The following is a 21,829-nucleotide window of genomic DNA, read 5'->3' on the forward strand; positions in this document are numbered from 1 at the left end:
TTGTTACTGTAACTATGGGAGGGAGCAGGCACTAACCTGGCCAACATATGTTTGGGCCTTGGCTCTGCACAGACAGAAACTATCCCCGTGGACACAGTTTGCCCTCCTAGCTGCCAGCCGGACTCATGAGTCCCAGAGCTTTGAGGTTGCAGCTAAATCTAAAATCCTGGCTGGGAGCAGTGGCTCATGCCTGTAATCCCAGCACTTCGGGAGGCTGAGGCAGGCAGATCATTTGAGGTGAGAAGTTTGAGACCAGTCTGGCCAACATGGTGAAAACCATCTCTACTAAAAATACAAAAATTAGCCGGGTGTGGTGGCATGTGCCTGTAATCCCAGCTACTCAGGAGGCTGAGGCAGGAGAATCGCTTGAACCTGGGAGGCAGAGGTTGCAGTGAGCTGAGATCGCACCACTGCCCTCCAGCCTGGGCGACAGAGCCAGACTCTGTCTCGAAAAACATAAAAAAAAAAAAAAAAAGAAAAAAAGAAAAAAATCTAAAATCCCTCCATTACTGACAGTCAATCCAAGAGTCCACTACCCATTGCCCGAGGGCCAGCCTTCCCTTTACACGCTATGACAGTGTCTCACAGAAATTGTTGAAGCAAGGCCTGCTCTCTAGCCCTAATCAAGGAGGACTATTGCCCCAGGCGCTACCGTCACAAATGTGCTTGTGGCTTCTGGGCTTCCTCACCAGGGACCTTAAATCTCACCAACTCATGGGGGCATCCACTGCCATCTACCACCTCATGTAGTTAATAGGGAGGCTGGGGGGCTTTGAGAGTAGAAAGAAAATGGCTGCCAATGGATTTGCTGACGTCCCATCTTCGTTCAACTTTATCACAGGACTTCGTTCCACCCTTGCTCTGACTAAATCAATCCGCAGCAGCTGATGCCCTTCTTTTGTGAGGCGTTGACCAGGCTGGACTCCTGTGATCACAGGTGTGGCATCCACTCCACAAGTCACACGGAGGCACTGGGACACAAGTGGGGGCTGCCTGGGTTCAGCTCTCAGGCCACCTCATGTCCATTCTGAAGGGGTCAAAATGTCCATCATGAAGAGAAAAGCCAAAAAATTCCTTCTTTATTTACCAAAGCTCTAATTCTTTTCTTTCTTTTTTTTTTTTTCTTTTTTTTTTTTTGAGATGGAGTTTCGCTCTTGTTGCCCAGACTAGAGTGCAGTTGCGTGATCTCAGCTCACTGCAACCTTCACCTCCGGGTTCAAGCAATTTTTCTGCCTCAGCCTCCCAAGTAGCTGGGATTACAGGCATGCGCCACAGAGCTCTAATTCTTAATGCCACCCCTGGATTCAGATCTAGGGCTTGGGACTTTAGGCTTATTTGGAAGAATCCCTCTCCATTGCTATACACTTTTGCTGGCTTCTATAATCCAAGCTCTGAAAGGCACTCAAAGGTCTTGTTTGCACATCTGGCCATCTGTGGGGAAATTCCTCCCATAAAGGTCTGGAGAAATAGCTTTGTTGCTAACAACTTGTGTTGTTAAGCTAGAGAGTGTACATTCTGCATTTTACTCCAGTACCTAGATACGAGATTCTTTTAGGAAGTTGCTGATTTTCTGAGGGTGTCTGTGGAAGGGCTCAAGGATAGCCTTCAGAATGATGAGTTTGAGGCTTGCTGATCTCCTGATGTTGGAATCTAACGAGTGGACTTGTAGGCTTTTAGAGGAACTATGTAGATGGATAGTTATAGAAATCCTTGGCTAGGAGTACCAAGAAGAAACATATATGTACGCAATCACATACTGAAAAGGGAATATAAGATGGAGAATTTCAGCTGCACATTTCTGTAGATTAACATGTTTATATGGCAGAAGATTGCACCATTCTAGGTAAAAGAAAATTGTTTGTCTCTAAATCTATCTGGGTTAATGGGCTACATTCTTCAGTCCTGACTTTGGACCTAAATTCTGTTGTCATTAGTCCACAATGAAATGAGTCAAGTAAAAAAGAATGCCAGTGGAAGACTGGTAGATGATCTTCCTTAGAAGGAAGTTCCTTTTATTCTGAGATGGTACCCTTTCTACTTTTTTTGTGATTAAAACATCCTTACTTTTATGAACTGATGGTGGTAATTGATCATGGGGATTTCAGATGCAGATTTTTGCTGGAGAAAATTAAACATTAAATCCACACAATCCACCCCCGCCTACCCCATAGACCCCTGTTTTTCAAAGGATATTGGTCCATAAAATCCAAATATCTGGGACTAGCTGACCTACTTACTTTCTTGGAAGCCATTAGGCAATGACACTCTCCTGTCCCAGAAGAACAGGCTACAACCCTACTCTGCAGGCTTTTCCACTATTTTCCTCTTGCTTCTGACGGGGAGTGGTAACCTTTTCCTAACGTGTGCCTTCTCTGCGTGGTGCCTCTTCTACTCCTTGCAAGAGAACAAATTTGCCTCTTCCTCCTCTGGGCTGCCCAAGCACCTTGTTTGTACTTTGCTTAGCACTTGCCATGATAAAAGACAATTATTTGAATGAGCCTTCTTTCTCACTAAGTTGTGAGGTTTCTGACAGCTTATCTTTTTATTTTTTATTTTTTGTCATTACTAACCACAATGCCTGGTAAATATATATTTGCTGAATGAATAAGCAACCTAAATCTCAGGTGGCAGTTAAAGGCTATTGTCTCATTTGTCTCTTCCAGTAGCAATAAACAGCTAATCTAATATATAATTTTTATTTTTATTTATTTATTTTTTTTGAGATGGAGTCTCGCTCTGTTACCCAGGCTGGAGTGCAGTTGCGCAGTCTTGGCTCACTGCAACCTCCGCCTCCTGTGTTCAAGCGATTCTTCTGCCACAGCCGAGTAGCTGGGATTACAGGTGTGCGCCACCACACCCAGCTAATTTTTGTATTTTTGGCAGAGATGGGGTTTCACCATATTGGCCAGGCTGGTCTCGAACTCCTGACCTCAGGCGATCCATCTGCCTTGGCCTCCCAAAGTGCCGGGATTACAGGCATGAACCCACTGCACCTGGCCTCTAATATATAATTTATGATGCCTGAATACTACGATAGAGTTCTTCTTTGGCTATCTCTTCTCCTGACATCATAATACTAGGAAACACACTGAGCCAGAAATCTGAAAACTGGGCTTTAGTTCCAAGCCACTTACTCTTTGGAGACTCAGTGTCCAAAGGAAAGGAATTAAGAGCAGGTTCTCACCACCATCTTCAACATGCTAGAGAAGAGAGGCTAGGAGAGGTTGCTCCTTAGAGGTGAGATGCTGACTATTCTCCAAGGAGTTTTGTTAAGTCATTTTGAACTTTGCTTGGCTTTTTTTTTTTTTTTTTGAGATGGAGTTTCACTCTTGTCACCCAGGCTGGAGTGCAGTGGCACAATCTCGGCTCACTGCAACCTCCGCCTCCCAGGTTCAAGCAATTCTCCTGCCTCAGCCTCCCGAGTAGCTGGGATTACAGGCATGTACCACCACACCCAGCTAATTTTTTTGTATTATTAGTAGAGACAGGGTTTCACCATGTTGGCCAGGCTGGTCTTGAACTCCTGACCTCAAGTGATCCGCCCACCTTGGCCTCCCAAAGTGCTGGGATTACAGGTGTGAGTCACTGTGCCCGGCCTTCTTGTTTGGCTTTTGGTAACCTATTTATTCATTCATTCTTCCAAAAAGTTTTATTGCCAAATAGACAGCACCATTCACTTGCATCCCTCAAAAAGATCCACGCAGGTTTTGGAGTCAGGCATCTCTAAGTATGATGTTGGCATGAGTCTTGGCTCTGTCTTCCAGGAGCCATGTAATATGGGGCAAGTTCCCATTTTAGGTTTCAATTTTTCTCACCAGCCGAAAGCATATAATAATCCTTCTGTCACAGTTACTGAGAAATGAGAACATGTATATAATGTATCTAGCCAGTGTTCAGTACATGGTCATTTCCCATCACCTTCCCTTAATGCAGAACCCAGCCAACTTAAACATGATAAACTCATTCATGGTCAGGTACGGTGGTGCATGCCTGTAACCCTAGCACTTTGGGAGGCTGAGGCTGGCAGATGGCTTGAGCCCAGGAGTTCGAGACCAGCCTGGGCAACATGGTGAAACACTGTCTCTACAAAAACTACAAAAATTAGCTGGGTGTGGTGGCACATGCCTGTGGTCCCAGCTCCTCAGGAGGCTGAAATGGGTGAATCACTTGAGCCTGGCAAGGCTGCAGTGAGCCATGATCACACGACTGCACTCCATCCTGGGTGACAGAGCAAGGCGAGACCCTGTCTCAAAACAAACTATGTTATTGGAGACTTAGAAGTCTTCACTTTCCCATCCCCAGCCCCACCTTCATGTCTACGTTGTAAAAGAGGCTGCAGCAAGAGGGCAATACCAATATCTATTCCAGGGGAAGAATTTGGTAATGATGGACTTTCAGGAATAAAGGTTTGGGGGAAAAGCTGAGATTTCATCACTTACAAGTGAGCCGCTGTAGAAGCCAGTCAAATGTATTGCGTGGTAAGCGAGCTTTGACTTTACTAAATCAGAAGGGGATGGGGAACATGTGTGGGTGTTGGAGTGATTAGAGATTCAGTGTGTTTGTGTCCTGCTGCTTTGATTCCCTTATTAAAGAGAATGAAAATAAACCCAGCAGCTGCTGGTTAACTCTTTCTGGGTATAGGCCTACAATCAGCAGAAATGCTCCAAGTCATCAAGCATTCCTGACATCCTGGGTGGAATTATCTAATCTAAGGCTTTTGCAAGGGAGGAATTTGAGTCCCCACCTAGCCTTTTCTCCTAGAGTTCTGGAAGAGATTATCACACGGTCTCAAAAACTAGAGCTCTAACCTGTTTTTGGTTTATGTGTTTGTTCATTTGTTAGTTCATTCATTTGCCTAGATCAAAAGAGCATTCTCGAGGCCAGGGGCTGTGGGTCGCGCCTGTAATCCCAGCACTTTGGGAGGCTGAGGCAGGCAGATCACTTGAGGCCAGGAGTTCGAGACCGCCTGGCCAACATGGTGAAAGCCCGTCTCCACTAAAATTACAAAAATTAGCCAGGCATGGTGGCGGGCACCTATAATCCTAGCTACTTGGGAGGCTGAGGCAGGAGAATTGCTTGAACCCAGGAGGCAGAGGCTGCAGTGAGCCGAGGTCATACCACTGCACTCCAGCCTGGGCGACAGAGTGAGACTGTCTCAAAAAAAAAAAAAAAAAAAGCATTCTGAATCATGGATTTAAGATAATCATAATAAACAACATGGTCTAGCTTCTAGGTTCTCAGAGCAGAAGAAAGATAAGGCCAACAGTTAGAAGACAGAGGTAAATGCAGTTTAGGAAAGGCATTTAGGAGGAGGCGAAAGAGCAAGTCCCGGAGCGGGCTGGTGGTTGGAGAGATGGTGGGGCCACCATTGTTGTGCACGCTTATTACAAGCCAGGCATTGTGCTGCCTTCTGCACACATTATCTCTGTGTCATCACAACCACCCTGCAAGGCAGGTCCAGTCTCATCCCATTTCTTGAAAAGAAGGCTCAGGGACATTAAGGACCAGACATGATCTCCCCCACCTGAAAAGTGGCAGAGCCAGAAGTCAAACGTTCATCCATCCATCTGGTCGTGGTATCCTCAATCTCTGCCTCCAGAAGCGTGTGATCTTGCTAAATCATAGCTAATGCCGATATAGCCAAAAATGGACAAATAAAGGCACCAAAGTAGAAGTGGTATAGGGGGTGGAAGCTGCCCCATAAGGGCCTGCTGGGGAGAATTGGGGAGGGGGACGGGGCATGTAGAATTGGTAGGCAATGGGAACACAGAAAGCCCATGCCGCATACCACTTCCCTAGAGCTTTTGACTCTCATTCCATAAGGAGAGGAACCCCAGGTGGGTAGGCTTTGTCCTGGGGGCAGGGTGGTGGGGGTGGAGATGGTAGAGCAGCCATGGGAACATAAAGGCATATACCCTGGATTTTCAGGGATAATCATAATTTTCAAATCATCCCTTTTCATTGACAGGCCATAGAGGAAACATTGGTCTTGACTCTTGTTTCAGAAAATAAGGTCCCAGCAAAGTCAATGGGTTAGGAAGTGTGGGAGCCCTGTTCTCTGATGACTGTTGGAAACGAGATTCATGGAAGGAAGCCTGGGCTCTCCTGACTCTGTGCTTCAGTGTCCAGGCAGAATCTCCTCAGTTAATTCTCCAGAAGAGAGCCCCCACCCTTCCTCTTTATACACTCTGGCAAGGGAGCTCCTAATCTTGCAGTCCCAGGCTCCCAAAATCTCTGTAGCAGACATTTTTGGGGGTCCCCCATCTCCTGTCCAAACCTTGGAATTCGTAATCATTTTAGTGCTTAGGGAAAGAGAGGAGAGGTAATCAGACCCTATTCCAAATGCATCTCTTTCCTTCCATTTTTCTTTCGTCACTCTCCAGCCACGTGGGTCCCATCACAAGTCATCAATAACAAGATGGTCACCCCTGAGTCCAAGGGAGGCTCACAAGACTCAGGCAGAGTGAAGCTGAGCACAGGGCAGGATGTGATAAGCAGGCCTGAACGGAGCCGAGGAAGGCCGGGCACTGGCAGCCTTTAAGTGCCTTGCAAGGACATGTGCCGGGAGTGCGTGTATGCCTCTAAGTCTCCTGAGCATGCCCCCGGGCACTTCAGCCTGGCCTTGGCCTCATTACTACCTCATGCTGTGTAACGGGCACAGGTGCATGTGGAAAAAGAATCAAGGTTTTCTGATAGAACCAATTTCCTTTACTGGAGTTTGCAAATAACCTGCTGTCCTTGGGCCTTTGCATTTCCATCTCTAAAATGGGAATACTAATCCTGCCTTCAATGTCCCACTGACTACATACACCCCTCACAAAGATACTGTGAGGAAGAGTGAGTAATAGCAAAGAATCTTAAGGCTAAAAGAACCCCAGGGTTCATTTTTTTCTATCCCTTTACTTCCAGCCAAGTTCTCTACACAATAATACCCATACCAAAGAAAGGAATGTGCCGGGCATAAAGACCATCTAGAAAGGACAGCCCGCAGCTTCCCCTTGGTTTGAAGCCAAGTTGGAAGTTGTCATGCCAGCTGCATTTTTTTTTTTTTTTTTACTGCATTGCTGTTCATCATCAAGTAATTCAGGGCACTAGGGGGAAAAAACTTCTCTGAAAATGAGGGAGTGATTTGCAGCATCTGTTATTTCCTTTTTAATTGAATCTGTTCTTCTCAGATACCAGGAGCAAGTGCCAAAGTCAGCAGTAGAATTCAGCTGTGTACATTTTGAACGAGCTGGAAGATAAGTTTATGAGCACTATACGGATGCAGATTGTACAGAAACCAGATGGCCATATTGTCCTCAAAGTCCTCTGGAGGGCGGTAGCTGACATGAAGCTCCAGCATGAGGAGGTGGGAGGTCTGCTGACTTTCCTAAGGAGCTGCTTGGGTAGATACACACCCAGGGTGGACTTGGATGCTTCCTTGGTGGGGGACGCACGTCACACGAGAGGGGCTTTCTCAGCAGCCCAAATGGACCCAGGGGCTCTCATGCTTGCTTCCATCCTGGCCCTGAGTAATAGGCATAAACCAGGGTCCTGTTGGTGCTCGCTCTTTTTCCCTCACATTCTGCATCCTGTTGAGCACCAGGAGGGTCACCAAGGGAAGCTAGGGAATTTCTACCCCAGAAAGTACCCAACAGCCCTGACTAGCTGGGAGGCAAGAGGAGAACTCCATGGGTTTCACAGGTACCTTCCTACCTGTGGTGTTGCACAAACAAAAGCAAACGCCCTGAAGTATATAGAACTCCACTACCAAGTGCAGCTTCTTAACAGCAGTTACATTTGCAGGAGAAGAGGGGATTTTGCTCCTGGATGAATGAGGAATAGTGGTACAGGGATGTACATCTCTGAGCTGAGCCCCAGGAAGCTGACTGGACATTCATCTTTCTTCTCTGGGTGGTTTTTTTTTTTTTTTTTTTTTTTTTTTTTTGAGATGGATCTCGCTCTGTCGCCCAGGCTGGAGTGCAGTGGTGCGATCTCGGCTCACTGCAAGCTCCGCCTCCTGGGTTCACGCCATTCTCCTGCCTCAGCCTCCCGAGTAGCTGGGACTACAGGCACCCGCCACCACGCCCAGCTAATTTTTTGTATTTTTAGTAGAGACGGGGTTTCACCATGTTAGCCAGGATGGTCTTGATCTCCTGACCTTGTGATCCGCCCACTTCGGCCTCCCAAAGTACTGGGATTACAGGCGTGAGCCACTGCACCCGGCCCAGTGTTCCTCATTTTCACACAGAGGAGTTGAGGCTCACATGGGATGAAGCTCTCTTTAGGGCACACAGGAGGTGCACTGTAGATCCCAAGAATAGCCACACGACGAAGAGAGGCTTTGGTTTGGGAAGTAAAAAGCCATGTGGTCAGCTGACTCTGCGGCATCAGACGAATGCATGTGAAATCATGGATCTCACCCACCTGAGGAAGGTGGGAAGTTACATCAACTGTGATAATAGATCTGTAGATGCAAAAGGCCTTGGAAGGAATATCCTATGGAAATAGAAGATATATTACAGCTTTAGCCTCTTAGGAGTGTGTGTGATTTGTCCAAAAAGATAAGCTTTATGTTAGCAATTATAAAGAAACTATAGGCATGTTGCATTTTTCTGAGAGCCATGGCCAAATTCTTGGTAAGAGTTTTTTTGAAAATCATAGTATTTTATTTTGGGGGCCCTAAAGTTTATTTATCTCAGCCACTCCCAAATCTGGCCACATGTCAGTCATCTCCAGCCTGGGCGACAAAGCGAGACTCCATCTCAAAAAAAAAAAAAAAAATGAATGTTCAGGGTTATTCCTGAAAATTCTGATCCAGTAGGTCTTGGGGAACATGGGAATCTGTATTTTTACTGAACTCCACCAGTAACTCAGATATGCAGCTGGCTTTGTGACCTCATCCAGTGCAGCCTTCCATCAGATGTTTATATCCAGGTTAGAAACCACCTCTGGATAACTTAAGCAGGAAACGAGTTTAGGTGGCTCACAGAACTATCAGGGGCATGGATAATCAGACTCTGGAAACAGGCAGGAGTCAAGGACACTGCTGCAGACACTTGCCGTGACCCCTCCACTCTTGGTCACCTTAGGTTCCAAAGTCTTTAATGGGAGTAGTTGATTGCCTTCGTCTAAGTCATATGCTGGGCATCATCTGTCAGGAAGCTGAAAGACAGAACATCTGCCCCATCAGTTTCTTTAGTGGGGCTCCCCCTTCGCTCATATTGGGATTCCCCTAAATAAGAAGAGTGCTTAGATACTGGACAGCCAAAACAACAATTGCTGTCTACAGTGTTGCCACAGTCATCAAGACTGCGCTTGAACTCCTCCATTCTTGGGGAGCTCACTACCTTACAAGGCCATTCAATTCTCTCTAAATCGGCCTTCCTGAAATTGCTACCTATTGGCCCTTAGGGTCAAGCCTTTCTCAAAATCTCATATTTAGGGGACACTGAAGAAGAACACCTTCTGAACTTCCTCTTCTGCTTTTACTTTAAAACCTGAAGCAAGTGAGAGGCAGACCTCTTTTTCCAGGTATTTGGCCCAGAGGCAGCGGGGTAAAATGGAGAGAGTGAAGGATTGAACTCAGTCCTGGCTCTGACTCCTGGTTCTGCTGCTTCACGGTCGTGTGACTTTGGACAGATTGCTTCACAACTTGTGACCCTCAGTTTCCTCATCAGTAAAACTGAAGATACTGATGGTGAGAATTAAGCCTGAAATGTGCTTCCTCTTTCCATCTTCGCACAGAGTGAAGCAATGTCAGCTGATGATGGGAAGGCAGGGTAGGATGGTGTTGAAGAACAGAGGTGTCTGGCAAGCCTGTGTCTGAGCCCGGGATGCACTCATTATCTGCATAACCTTGTACAAAGTATTTACCTTCTCCTTCTCTCATCTGTAAAGTGAGTGCAATTTTAGTACCCATGTCATAGAGTTGTTCTGAAGACTAAATGAAATAAATTTTTTGTTGTTGTTCTTGTTGTTTTTTGAGATGGAGTCTCGCTCTGTCGCCCGGGCTGGAGTGCAGTGGCGTGATCTCGGCTCACTGCAAGCTCCGCCTCCCGGGTTCACGCCATTCTCCTGCCTCAGCCTCCCGCGTAGCTGGGACTACAGGCGCCCACTACCACACCCGGCTAATTTTTTGTATTTTTAGTAGAGACGGGGTTTCACCGTGTTAGCCAGGATGGTCTCGATCTCCTGACCTCGTGATCCGCCCGCCTCGGCCTCCCAAAGTGCTGGGATTACAGGCATGAGCCACTGCGCCCAGCCGAGATAAATGTTAAATGCTGACACAGTGCTTAGCATTTAAATAACACTTAAGATGTCATGTCTTATTATTGATTGGCGGTTGAGGTGGGACTTCATGGTCTGGACAGACCTTGCATTGCTGCCATCAAAAGTTGCCTCCTTCAAAACAGTTGTAGCGCTGCTGTCAGTGTCTGTTAAGAATGAGGTGGTGCATATGCTACGGCAGAGACAATCCAGAAAGCTTCTGAATCAATAGAACCTCTGAGGCTGTTGTAGCTTTGGCATAGCTATCATCTTTTAGGGCCATTTACCCAATGTGTCACCAAAGAGACACAGCAGAAACTGCTGGAGAAACACGGATCCGAAAGCCCAGTAATGACGGCTCCTCTCCTCTTTCTATTCTCTCCACCCATCTGTTCCCCTACTTCCTTCAAAGCACACATAGACACACACCCCTTTTGTCTCTCTCAAAACAGGGGATAATTAAAAAACCAAAATCCAAACATCCAGCAGAAGTTTATGCTTGAGTCTCAGAACACAACATATGGCTTCCCAGCCATTGCCAGGTTCTGTAACCACAAAGAGAGAGGTCTCCAGCCTCCACCGTGGTCCCCTGGCTTTGCCACTATTTGCTGACAGAGGCAGCACTCCTCCGCCAAGGACTAGAGGGTCATGGTGTTCAACCCCTTGAATTGTAGTCAAAATTACATTTTCCTGTCATTTGAAAATGCTCCAGAAACAGAGGAGATTCAAGTGCTTCCTTTCTTTGTCCCTGTTTCAGCTTTCTCTTTCCAGTATTGGATTAGAGGCAGCAGGGACTGTGGAGAGAGGACGAGGAGGTGGAATTTCCTGATCGTGATGCAGTGTCCCTCTGTGGGGGCAGAAAAACTGCACGGTAGTAGCAGCAAGCTGGGGCTGGTGAGAACTGCGAGAGGAAGGGGGATCTCAGCTGCAGAGGAGAGCTCTGAGACAGGGTCTCACTCTGTTGCCCAGACTGGAGTGCAGTGGCTCAATCCATGACTCACTGCGGCCCCAGCCTCCTGAGCTCATGTGGTCCTTCTGCCTCAACCTCCCAGCTTGCTGGGACTACAGGCATGTAGCACAATGCCCAGCTAATTTTTTTGTATTTTTAGTAGAGACGGTGTTTTGCCATGTTGCCCAGGCTGGGTTATTTTTTATTTCTATTGCCCAAGTCACATGGAGGAATTGTGTCAGATTGTAGTAAGAAGAGGATGATTCTACCTTATCCTCCCTCCACAAAACACACACATATGCCGTGAGTTAGCTTTTCATCTCTGCCCCTCTAATATCCCTTGTGTGGCCTCTTGCATGGGGAATCGCTGTCCACCCAGAGACTTGGGACATCAGGATGTCCTTTCACCTCCTGAGGCAAGGTTGCCTGTGGGAGACCTTGCTCAGAGCTTTCAGTCTGCCCCGCTCTGTAAGGAGGTTTGGGTTGCAGACATGTCCTTTCTCCACCTGAAGGCAGGTAATGCAACCACAATGTCACCCAGTTCTGTAAAATTCCTGTCTAAGGAGTCCAGTTCAGTTTTCTGAATCTTGAACAGCAGACCAGGCTAAAGAGGGGAGCCCCAGAAAGCTTTGCTGGAAGGAAGAGAAAGACAAAAGCCTTGCCTTTTCTCTCGGTAGAAGCTGTCGGTCATGGCTCTTCTAGCCTCACAATTTGGAGATGTTAGATGGAATCAGGATGATTATAGCCTCATCTCCCCTTCTCCCGTCCTGTCTAAGTAGTCACACAGATTGATGCCTTAATTTCCCATAGCACAGCCGAGGCCAAGGTGTAACAAACTGAACAAGACTTTACTAGCAGCTCAGGATCAGGACTATGCTTAGGACCAGCCCATTCTCAGGGGGTTCCCTCAAAGCTACCACTGTATGACAGAGATCCCTGTCCTCTCGCCCCCAGAAAAGTCCTCAAGTTTTGCCAGACTCCTGGGAGTACTAGCATAAGAAAGCAAGGCCCAGAGACATGGAGATTCTCTCTTCTTCTCCCACCTAAGGCCTTCCTTCCAAATCCTCATTGCCTGTCCTAAGAACCACCACTTCCTGGACTAACCGATAGCGGAAGGGCCAGGTTCCCTCTCTGCCCCTGAGGAAGTGATGCTACCCCACAGTCCGAGGAGATAATCACATCAGAATATAGCAGACCTGCAGTAGTGTGAGAGATTTCCTGGCAGTAAGAAGGGGTAGGGAGGAGGATGTCCTTGTCACACCCAGGCTGCCTGGATCCTGTGGCCTCCACCACATGCATTAGGCGTGGCTCTGGCCACAGATCAGTAGAGGGAGAAGCACTGCACACAGCACGGATGCTTGTAAATGTCAATTGCCCTCAGTGGCTATAATTAGTTTCTCTGGTACCCTGTGTTCAGCAAAGTGGGGAAACAGCCCCTTAGAAAGTGTGTATTTTCCACCGCTGTACCTCGTGATATCACCACAGGTGCCTTCTGGCTGACCCCAAGTTTCTCGTTGTTCTCCAGGAACTGCTGTGACTGTTGGTGGCAGTTCTATAACTCTGAGAAGTCACAGGGGGCCCGGTCAACCACCAGCAAATGACTTCCTGTTCCCTTCCCCTACTGTCCCCCACCCCCCATGACACTAGGCCAGTCCTTGCCTGGTGAGAATAAATTCAACTGTACGTGGATTTCTCACCCAAGTTTCTTTCTTTCTTTTTTTTTTTTTCGGACAAGTCTCACTCTGTCACCAGTCTCACTCTGTCACCCAGACTGGAGTGCAGTGGCGCCATCTTGGCTCACCGTAACCTTCGCCTCCTGGGTTCAAGAAATTTTCCTGCCTTAGTCTCCCAAGTAGCTGGGATTACAGGCACCCACTACCAAGTCTGGCTAATTTTTGTATTTTTAGTAGTAGAGACGGGGTTTCACCATGTTGGCCAGGCAGGCCTCGAGCTCCTAACCTCAAGTGATCCTCCCGCCTTGGCCTCCCAAAGCGCTGGGATTATAGGTGTGAGCCACCATGCCCGGCCTCACCCAAGTTTTAAACACGTCCAAGAAAGTGGATGCATACCTACCTAGTCTAATGTTTAAAATACATTTCGGATGAAGCATTTCTTGTTCTAAAACTACTTAACATAGAGCCCTGGCGCCTCAGATTCCTTGCAAGTCACTAAGTCAGTGCATGGCATTGGGTACTAGTGTTATATTATTGGGCAGACTTGTGAAAGGATGTGGAGTCTCAGACTCCAGGTTTGAATCTGCCATCTCCAGCCGTGTGACCTTGGGCAAGTTATTGAAGCTTTGAACACTGGCTTCTTGATCCATCAAATGGGATATTTAGGGGGGAAATGGGATAGTAGGGATTGTGTGAGGATTAAGTATGATGACATATGTAAAAGCAAATTAACACTGCACCCAGCAGGTCCTCAATTATAGTACTTTTTATATTCATAGTATGGAATAAAGAAAAGTCTTTTTGATTGGAGCCCCAAAAAAGGGATATTAGAGGGTCAGAAATGAAAAGCTAACTCATAGCGCATGTGTGTGTTTTGTGGCGGGAGGGATAAGGTAGAATCATCCTCTTCTTACTCCAATCTGACACAATTCCTCCACGTGACTTGGGCAACAGAAATAAAGAATAACCCAGCCTGGGCAACATGGTGAAACACCGTCTCACCTAAAAATACAAAAAATTAGCTGGGCATTTTGCTACATGCCTGTAGTCCCAGAAACCTGGGAGGTTGAGGCAGGAGGACCACCAGAGCTCAGGAGGCTGGGGCTGCAGTGAGCCATGATTGATCCACTGCACTCCAGCCTGGGCGACAGATTGAGACCGTCTCTCAAAAATAAATAAAAAACACTTACTGAGTATTACCATGTGATAGCTGCTGTTCGAACAATCTAAGCATGATTACGTTAGATTGGTGATGGGTATTCTTACACTGCCAATTTACAGATGGATTAACTAACACGCTGAGGTTAAAAGTAACTTGTCTAAGACCACGCGGCTAATAATTGGGAGTGCCCGGAAGTCAATTCCCTTCTCTAAGCTTCAATTTCCTCATCAGATGATTGGTTTAGATACCCATGTCCACCAGTGCTCAAAATTTTACATCTGTGCTAAATTTAACCAGGAAATTTGGGAGTTATGTTAGTGATGTTTGCAATGGAAAAGAAATGGTTTAGGAAACTTAACATGGCTTGAAACTCTTTAAAAGTCTTTCTTACCATTTTTCTTGTCCCTTTCTTTCATTACTCTCTCCTTGTCTTTTCCCCTTCGTCCTCCTTAAAATAAGTCTCTGAGAGGGAAAAACCTGTGGTTCACATCATGAGTTCATCAGAACCAGGCATCTATGTATCCCATCACATAGGTCAAGGAGCCTCCCAGCAAAGGTAGTAATAATCAGCCTTAGTAGCTGGAAAGATCATTTCATCTGTTTCTCTTCTTGCAAAACCTAAAGTGTTAAATCAGATTCTTGAACAGTAACACTTCCCAAACAAGTTGTCTCTACTGGCTGTTTCCACTTCCTATCCTCCTCTTTTCTCTTAAACTTATTTCAATCAGGCTTCTGTCACACTGCCCCCCAAAGCTGCTGTCATCAAGGTCACTAATGGCCACAGTAGTGCCATATATTGTGAGCAATTCCATCCTCCATCAGCAGCATTGGATGCAGGCGATCAGTCCTCTCTCGATGCTTCCTTAAAGACCCTTGGCTTCTAGGAGTTTCTTCTCTCTTAGTCCTCCTACTGCAGTGCCTGCTTCTGCTCCAACTCCTTGGCTGGCTTCCTCATCTCCTCACCTGTAAATATTGGAGAGCCCTCAGCTGAAAACCATGGACCCCTTCTCTCCTTTGTCTAAACTCACCCCCATAGTAGTCTCCAAACTCCTGGCTTTATGTACTATCCATATGCTGACAACTCCTGCACTTACATCCCCCACCCAGTCCTCTCTCCCATTTTCCAGACTCCGTACTCAGCATCTCCTATGGATGTCAAATAGGCATCTCAAACATGGGTCCTCCCACAGTCTTGTCATCTCCAAGCAGGATAACTCTTTCTTCCAGATGTTCATTCTAATGCCTTGGAGTCACCCTTAGCGCCTCACTTTTTCCATCCAGTCCATCAGTGAATCTGTCAGCTTCGCCGCTTCCACAGATCCAAATCCCTGGCATTCTCTCTTGCTTGTATTATTGCAATTGCCTCCAAACTGGTCTCCCTGTTTTGGCTTTTGCTTTCTTGTAGTCTCTTCTCATCAGAATAGTTGGAGATCCTTTCAAAGTGTAAGGCAGATGGAATCACTCCACTGCTCAAAATGCCCCAACGTTCTCTGTGTTACAAAGTTAAATCTAAAGCCTTCCTGTCTCTAGGGTGTTCCCTTGCTACCTCTCTGAATCTGTTTCCTAGCATGTACCTCCTTGCCCATTCAGCTGAAGCCACATGGTCTATTCTTTGTTCCTTGAATACACTACACACGCCATTGCCTGGGGCCTTTGTGCTTGCTCTTCCAGGAAGGCTCTTCACACAGCTATCCACAGAGCTCTCCCTCCCTGACTCATTCATTACCTTTATCTAATCTTTCCATGCAAAATAGGAATCCCTTCCCACCCTTCCCTGCCTTATTTTTTCCAAAACGCTTACTATAACTGTCCTCTCCCCTAGAATATAAACTGCATGAGGTCAAAAATCTTTGTATTTTTTTTTTCTCTGCTATATCCCCAAGGCTAGAAAAATGTCTGACACATAGTAGATGTTAAAAGAATGAATGACTCGGCCAGGCGCGGTGGCTCACGCCTGTAATCCCAGCACTTTGGGAGGCCGAGGTGGGCAGATCACAAGGTCAGGAGATGGAGACCATCCCGGCTCACACGGTGAAACCCCGTCTCTACCAAAAATACAAAAAATTAGCCAGGCGTGGTGGCGTGTGCCTGTAGTCCCAGCTACTCTGGAGGCTGAGTCAGGAGAATCGCTTGAACCCGGTGGTGGAGGTTTGCAGTGAGCCAAGATCGCGGCACTGCACTCCAGTCTGGGCAACAGAGCAAGACTGTGTCTCAAAAAAAAAAAAAAAAAAAAAAAAGAATGAATGACTCTAGGTCAGTTTCTACAACAGATGCTGACTGACCAGCCAAGCTCTTTATGGAATTCTGTTCACTTAGAGTAAGCAAATCTTCCACAGCACTACGGGGGGGTGGGAGTGGGAATGTGGTGGCTGGGAGGACCACTAAATCTTTTTTGCTATAAATTGCTTTCCCGTATGATGATATTTACCACACCAGGATTTCAGCTCTAGCTCAAAGCTTGCTTAAGGATATTTGTCAGAGTGAGCTTGCCTGAGAGTTCAGTAATTCTCAAGATGGTTTCCCTGAAAGAATCCTTGTTCAAACACCATCCCTTTAAAAGTCCTTAATCCAGACTGCCTGTTCTGCAGACATTCTCAGATGCATTATTTAAAGTTATTTCCAGTGGTGCGTGGGTGGGAGGTGGGAGCTACATTTGTTACTTAGTGGTTTCCAAAAGCCTTCCAGGATCTTTCCTTTTTACCCTAGTGAGGTTGCTCACTTTTAACCCTTCTTTTCCAGGTCTCCTAACATAACTTCTTAGGCTTAGTAGCTCATTGGCAAATCCGTTAATGCATTTCACTGCTATTGGGTGAAATTTAGAAACATGCTACTCTGTTCTTTGGGGATGCCTCTTAGCAGAGAGAGGCTTCTTTTTCTTAAGGAGTCAAAGAATGACATTCATAGAAGACACTGTTTATTGGATGAACCAGTTACACAGACTTTTTGATTCTTGGGAGAATGTTCATATCTGTGGTATAATGCATTAGTCATCATACTTTTGAAGAATAAAGACATCACATGGTATTTGCCCTCTCCCAGGGCCCTGCAACCTTTTGCATCTGTTATTTTGTTTGAAGCTCACAAAGCTTCCTGCAGTAGACAAGTTGTATCACATTTTACAGATGAAGACAGAGGCACAGGGAGGGTAGTGACCAGCTGAAGGCTGCCCTTGGTGGATGGCCCAGTGGGACCTAGAGCTCCGCCCTCATGCTCTCTTGCTTCCTCGCCTTGCAAGACTTTGACTTAAACATTCTGCCTCTCCTAATTACTGATAGGTGTCCTGGTTCTCTCCTGCACTCCAGGAACCCAAGTACAGGTCTCAAACACTTGAAGATTGTCTTTTGCTGCACGGGTCCATTTCTAACTTGCAACATCTTTTTTCTGGTTCTCCTGCTTCTGCCAGATACTGAGAGAGACGGGAAATGTCTGTGTGTCTCTGGATATTTTGAGACTGTTCTTTGTCTAGGAGAGTGCTCAGTGGCAGAAGGAACCATCTAGATATCCAAGGAGAAAACTGCTCTTCCTGAGTTCTTTGGTCTCTAAGCTCCAGCTTGGTAGAAAATTGGGCTTCTTTTCTGAATATCCATAGTGAAGTTACATTCCTTAGAAATTCTTCACATGAAAGTCTGACAGCTCTAGGGGGTTACCCTTTAAGCATAATATTCAGATCTGGTATTTCTTTTTTTTTTTTTGAGATGGAGTCTCGCTCTGTCCCCCCGGCTGGAGTGCAGTGGCATGATCTCGGCTCACTGCAAGCTCTGCCTCCCAGGTGCATGCCATTCTCCTGCCTCAGACTCCCGAGTAGCTGGGACTACAGGTGCCCGCAACCATGCCTGGCTAATTTTTTGTATTTTTAGTAGAGGCGGGGTTTCACCATGTTAGCCAGGATGGTCTCGATCTCCTGATCTCATGATCCGCCCATCTCGGCCTCCCAAAGTGCTGGGATTACAGGCGTGAGCCACCGCGCCCGGCCCAGACCTGGTATTTCTTTCGCCATGGGGCTATAATACTGCCAGCCTTTGCACAGAGCTTTAGAGTTGTGGTTATGCTTCAGAAGCTCCCAGAAAGTTTCTGAAAATACAGATTCCTGGGCTCCTCCTGGCGATTTTAATTCAGTAGGCTTAAGAGGATCAGAAATCTGTAATTAAAAAAAAAATCCTTTGTCATTTCTGACAATTAACCAGGCTTGGAAACCACTGTTCAGATTACAAAGCCCTTTTGTATATAATATTTCATTTGTTCATCACAACACATGAGGAAGCCGTTAACCTCCTTTGCAGATGTGACTCAAATATGGTAAATAACCTAAGTCCTTAAGTTAGTGAATAGTAGAGCCAAGTCTCCAGCCTAAAGCCTTTGTCTCCAAACCTGATTTCATTTCCACGTGATCTCCCTTGGAGACGCATTCTCCCATCTATCAGTTGTCCCAGGGGTGTTGGTTTCTTCTCATACTCTGCTTTGCTCACCAGCAAAAGGCCAAATTCATCTGTTCTTCCCTGCGAGCAGCAATAAGCAGATTTGGAGAAGGTGGTGGAAAGGCAGGCCCCAGGCAAGTGTCTCAAAGTATCCATCCTTGTCAGTTATCTGGGCCCATCAGACAACAGTGGCAGGCAGGCCCAAGGGATGTTTCAGCCCAGTTCCAAGAAAGAGTCCCAAAGAGCACCGGGTAGAAACCATGGGCCGGTGGCTTAGAGAGTTAGTGGTAAACCTTTCCTGTTTCCATGTGCATTGTGTTTTGGAGCTAGATCATCATGAAGAAACCTCAAAAATCTCAAGTTTCATTGTAATAGGAAGGAGGCAGGGTGGCCCTGGGGGTGGCTATGGGAAACTTTGAGTGGATTTTCTGGTGCTTCTGGGTGAGGCTATGTCAGTGTGTAAAAGTAACTTGAGAGCAGGGCTCTTTTGTCCTAGCTGGTTCTGTGTCATTGGGAGCTCCCGGAGTTTAAATGCTTATGTGGACTTTGGTGGGTGGTCCCCTCATCCCAGATTCCCAGTGTGGCAGCTATTCTTGGGATTTTAGAAATTGGAACCTGGAGGACCTTTGCCTTAGGAATGGGAGTTTGATTTCTGGTTATTTCGTTCATTCATCTATTGATAGATATTATTACATAGAGTTAAGAGCCTAAGCTCTGGAGGCAGACTTCCTGGATTCCATATCTGGCTTTGCCACTTACTAGCTTTGTAATTGTCACTGTGCCTCGGTGTACTCATCGGTAAGATCATGATGACACTGGTACCTACTTCTTCAGGTTTTGGCGAGGAGCAGATGAATTATTATGTGTGGAGTGCTTAGAATCGGGGCAGGCATGTAGAAGTTGCGGCATAAGTGCTAACTTCACTGTTGTTTGACAAACATCATGTTCTGGGTCCACCACTGTGGCATAGAGGGCATAGAGGCAACCACCAGGGGCCCACCTTGCAGGAGTTCACAGTTTGCTGGGAGACAGGCATGAAAACAGACCACTGCCATGTAAAGTTGCTGTTGACATAGGGAACGCTGTAATAGAGGAAAAATCAGAGGACTGCGGGGACACAGAGGAGCGGCCAGCTGTGTGCCATGGATGGGCTGGGCCAGGCCTGAACTGGCTTCTTAGAGGAGGTAGTAGCATTTGATCTTAAAATGTCATTAGCAATTCACCAGATGGGGGAAAGGGGAACGGCATTCCAGAGAGAGGCAACAGCACACACAGGGCCACAGAGGCATGACAACTCCAGCATGTGCAGGAAATGACAGAAAGTGGGGAATGTGCTGCATGAAAAGGAAGTGGGAGGTGAAGTGGAGAGTCCAGTGAGCGGCATCCTAAGATCCTAAGACTCATAAGCCCCATGCCAAGGGATGAGGACTTTGCCTGGAGGAAAGGCACTTGGGACTCACTGGGAGTGTTCGAAGAACAGGCTCAAATTTGTATGTTATTTTATTTATTTATTTATTTATTTTTGAGACAGAGTCTTGCTCTTTCCCCCAGGCTGGAGTGCAGTAGCACGATCTCAGCTCACTGCAACCTCCCACCACCCCCTAACCCCCACCCCCCGATTCAATCAATTCTCCTGCCTCAGCCTCTCGAGTAGCCAGGATTACAGGCACCCGTCACCATGCCCAGCTAATTTTTGTAATTTTACTAGAGACAGGGTTTCACCATGTTGGCCAGGCTGGTCTGGAATTCCTGACCTCAGGTGATCCATCCACCTCGGCCTCCCAAAGTGCTGGGATTACAGGTGTGAGCCACCGTGCCCGGCCTCAAATTTGGATTTTAATAAAATCACTCTAGTTGCTGTGATGAGCATAGCACCATAAACAAAAAAAAAAAAAAAAGAAAAGAAAAGAAACAAACTCAATGACTTGAGTACCTCGCCCTTGTTAAATGTGAGTGCAAGGTATCTACCATTTCAGAGAGGGCCCAACCTTAACCGTGGTCAGGAGGCAAGGGTTTGGAAAATGTGGTGCTGATTCAGCCCACGACATTCAGGGTACCCTGGAGAAGAGCCCTTCCGGTGTCTGGTCTCCCCATCGTTCTGTAGGTGCAGTAGCGACATTATACTCCCTCTCCATAGCTCATCTTTAGACAGTGTTGGAGGAGCATGCTGTACTGGATTTCCTGCAAATGTAGCCTACTCAGGAGGAAAAGTGGGGCTCCATTGCTTGTTTCATTTTTCTTTTCTATTTTTATTTTTATTTTTTTGAGACAGAGTCTCACCCTGTCGCCCAGGCTGGAGTGCAGTGGCTCAATCTTGGCTCACTGCAACCTCCGCCTCCCGGGTTCAAGCGATTCTCCTGCCTCAGCCTCCTGAGTAGCAGGGATTATAGGTGTGCACCACCACGCCGGCCAATTTTTTCTATCTTTAGTAGAGACAGGGTTTTACCATGTTGGCGAGGCTGGTCTCAAACTCCTGACCTCATGATCCACCCACCTCAGCCTCCCAAAGTGCTGAGATTACAGGCGTGAGCCACTGCACCCGGCCCCTTGTTTCATTTTTCTATAGAATATATTTGCACTTAATTTTATTATTTAATAGGAAACATGCTCATGGTTCAAAGAACAAAATGATAGGAAGGTTTACACACAAGTTTGCCCTTCCCTCTGTGCTCATCCACCCTGTTGTCTCCACACCTGCCAGAAGAAACCACTCTTATTTGTTTCTTGGGTATCCTTCTAGCATTTCTTTTTTTTCTTTTCATGTCAGATGGGTAATATACCGACATCGTAACAAGGTTCGAGGGTGGCACATCTCAAACACGCACGTGAACACCCAGTCATTACGCTTATGAACTATAAAAAGATCACCTTTCGGCATTTATTTCTTTTCTTTCTTCTTCTTCTTTTTTTTTTTTTTTTTGAGACTGAGTTCTTGCTTTATCACCCAGGCTAGAGTGCAGTGGCGCGATCTTGGCATACTGCAGCCTCCGCCTCCCGGATTCAAGCAATTTTCCTGCCTCAGCCTCCCGAGTAGCTGGGATTACAGGTGTCTGCTACCATGCCCGGCTAATTTTTGTATTTTTAGTAGAGACGGGGTTTCACATGTTGGCCAGGCTGGTCTCGCACTCCTGACCTCAAGTGATCTGTTCACCTCATCCTCCCAAAGTTGCTGGCATGAGCCACTGTGCCCAGCACCAACATTTCTTTATGCAACTATGAGCAAATGGGATCATAGATTCTTCCTGTTTTCCCTTTCACTTGTAGGATGTATCAACAAGGTCTTTGAAAAATCAAAGTCATATTTGCTAAGGGATTTCTAGCTAGTCCAGTTATTCCTTCCAGAGTGAAATAAAGGGAAGCAGAAGCTTTGCTGTGACTT

The 21,829-nt window shown here is 46.6% G+C and overlaps 1 protein-coding gene and 1 non-coding gene across 3 annotated transcripts in view; one reads left to right on the forward strand and one right to left on the reverse strand.

Annotated features, from left to right (window-relative positions):
• UBASH3B (ubiquitin associated and SH3 domain containing B) overlaps nucleotides 1–21,829 on the forward strand; it is a 158,752-nt gene that overhangs the window by 49,275 nt on the left and 87,648 nt on the right. The gene's annotated exons all lie outside the window — the stretch shown is intronic.
• LOC124902828 (small nucleolar RNA U13) lies at nucleotides 21,212–21,315 on the reverse strand. The gene has a single exon (XR_007063013.1). It is a non-coding gene; the product is annotated as a small nucleolar RNA U13 (small nucleolar RNA).

Source organism: Homo sapiens, chromosome 11 (assembly GCF_000001405.40).
Source record: "Homo sapiens chromosome 11, GRCh38.p14 Primary Assembly".
Lineage (NCBI taxonomy): Eukaryota > Metazoa > Chordata > Mammalia > Primates > Hominidae > Homo > Homo sapiens.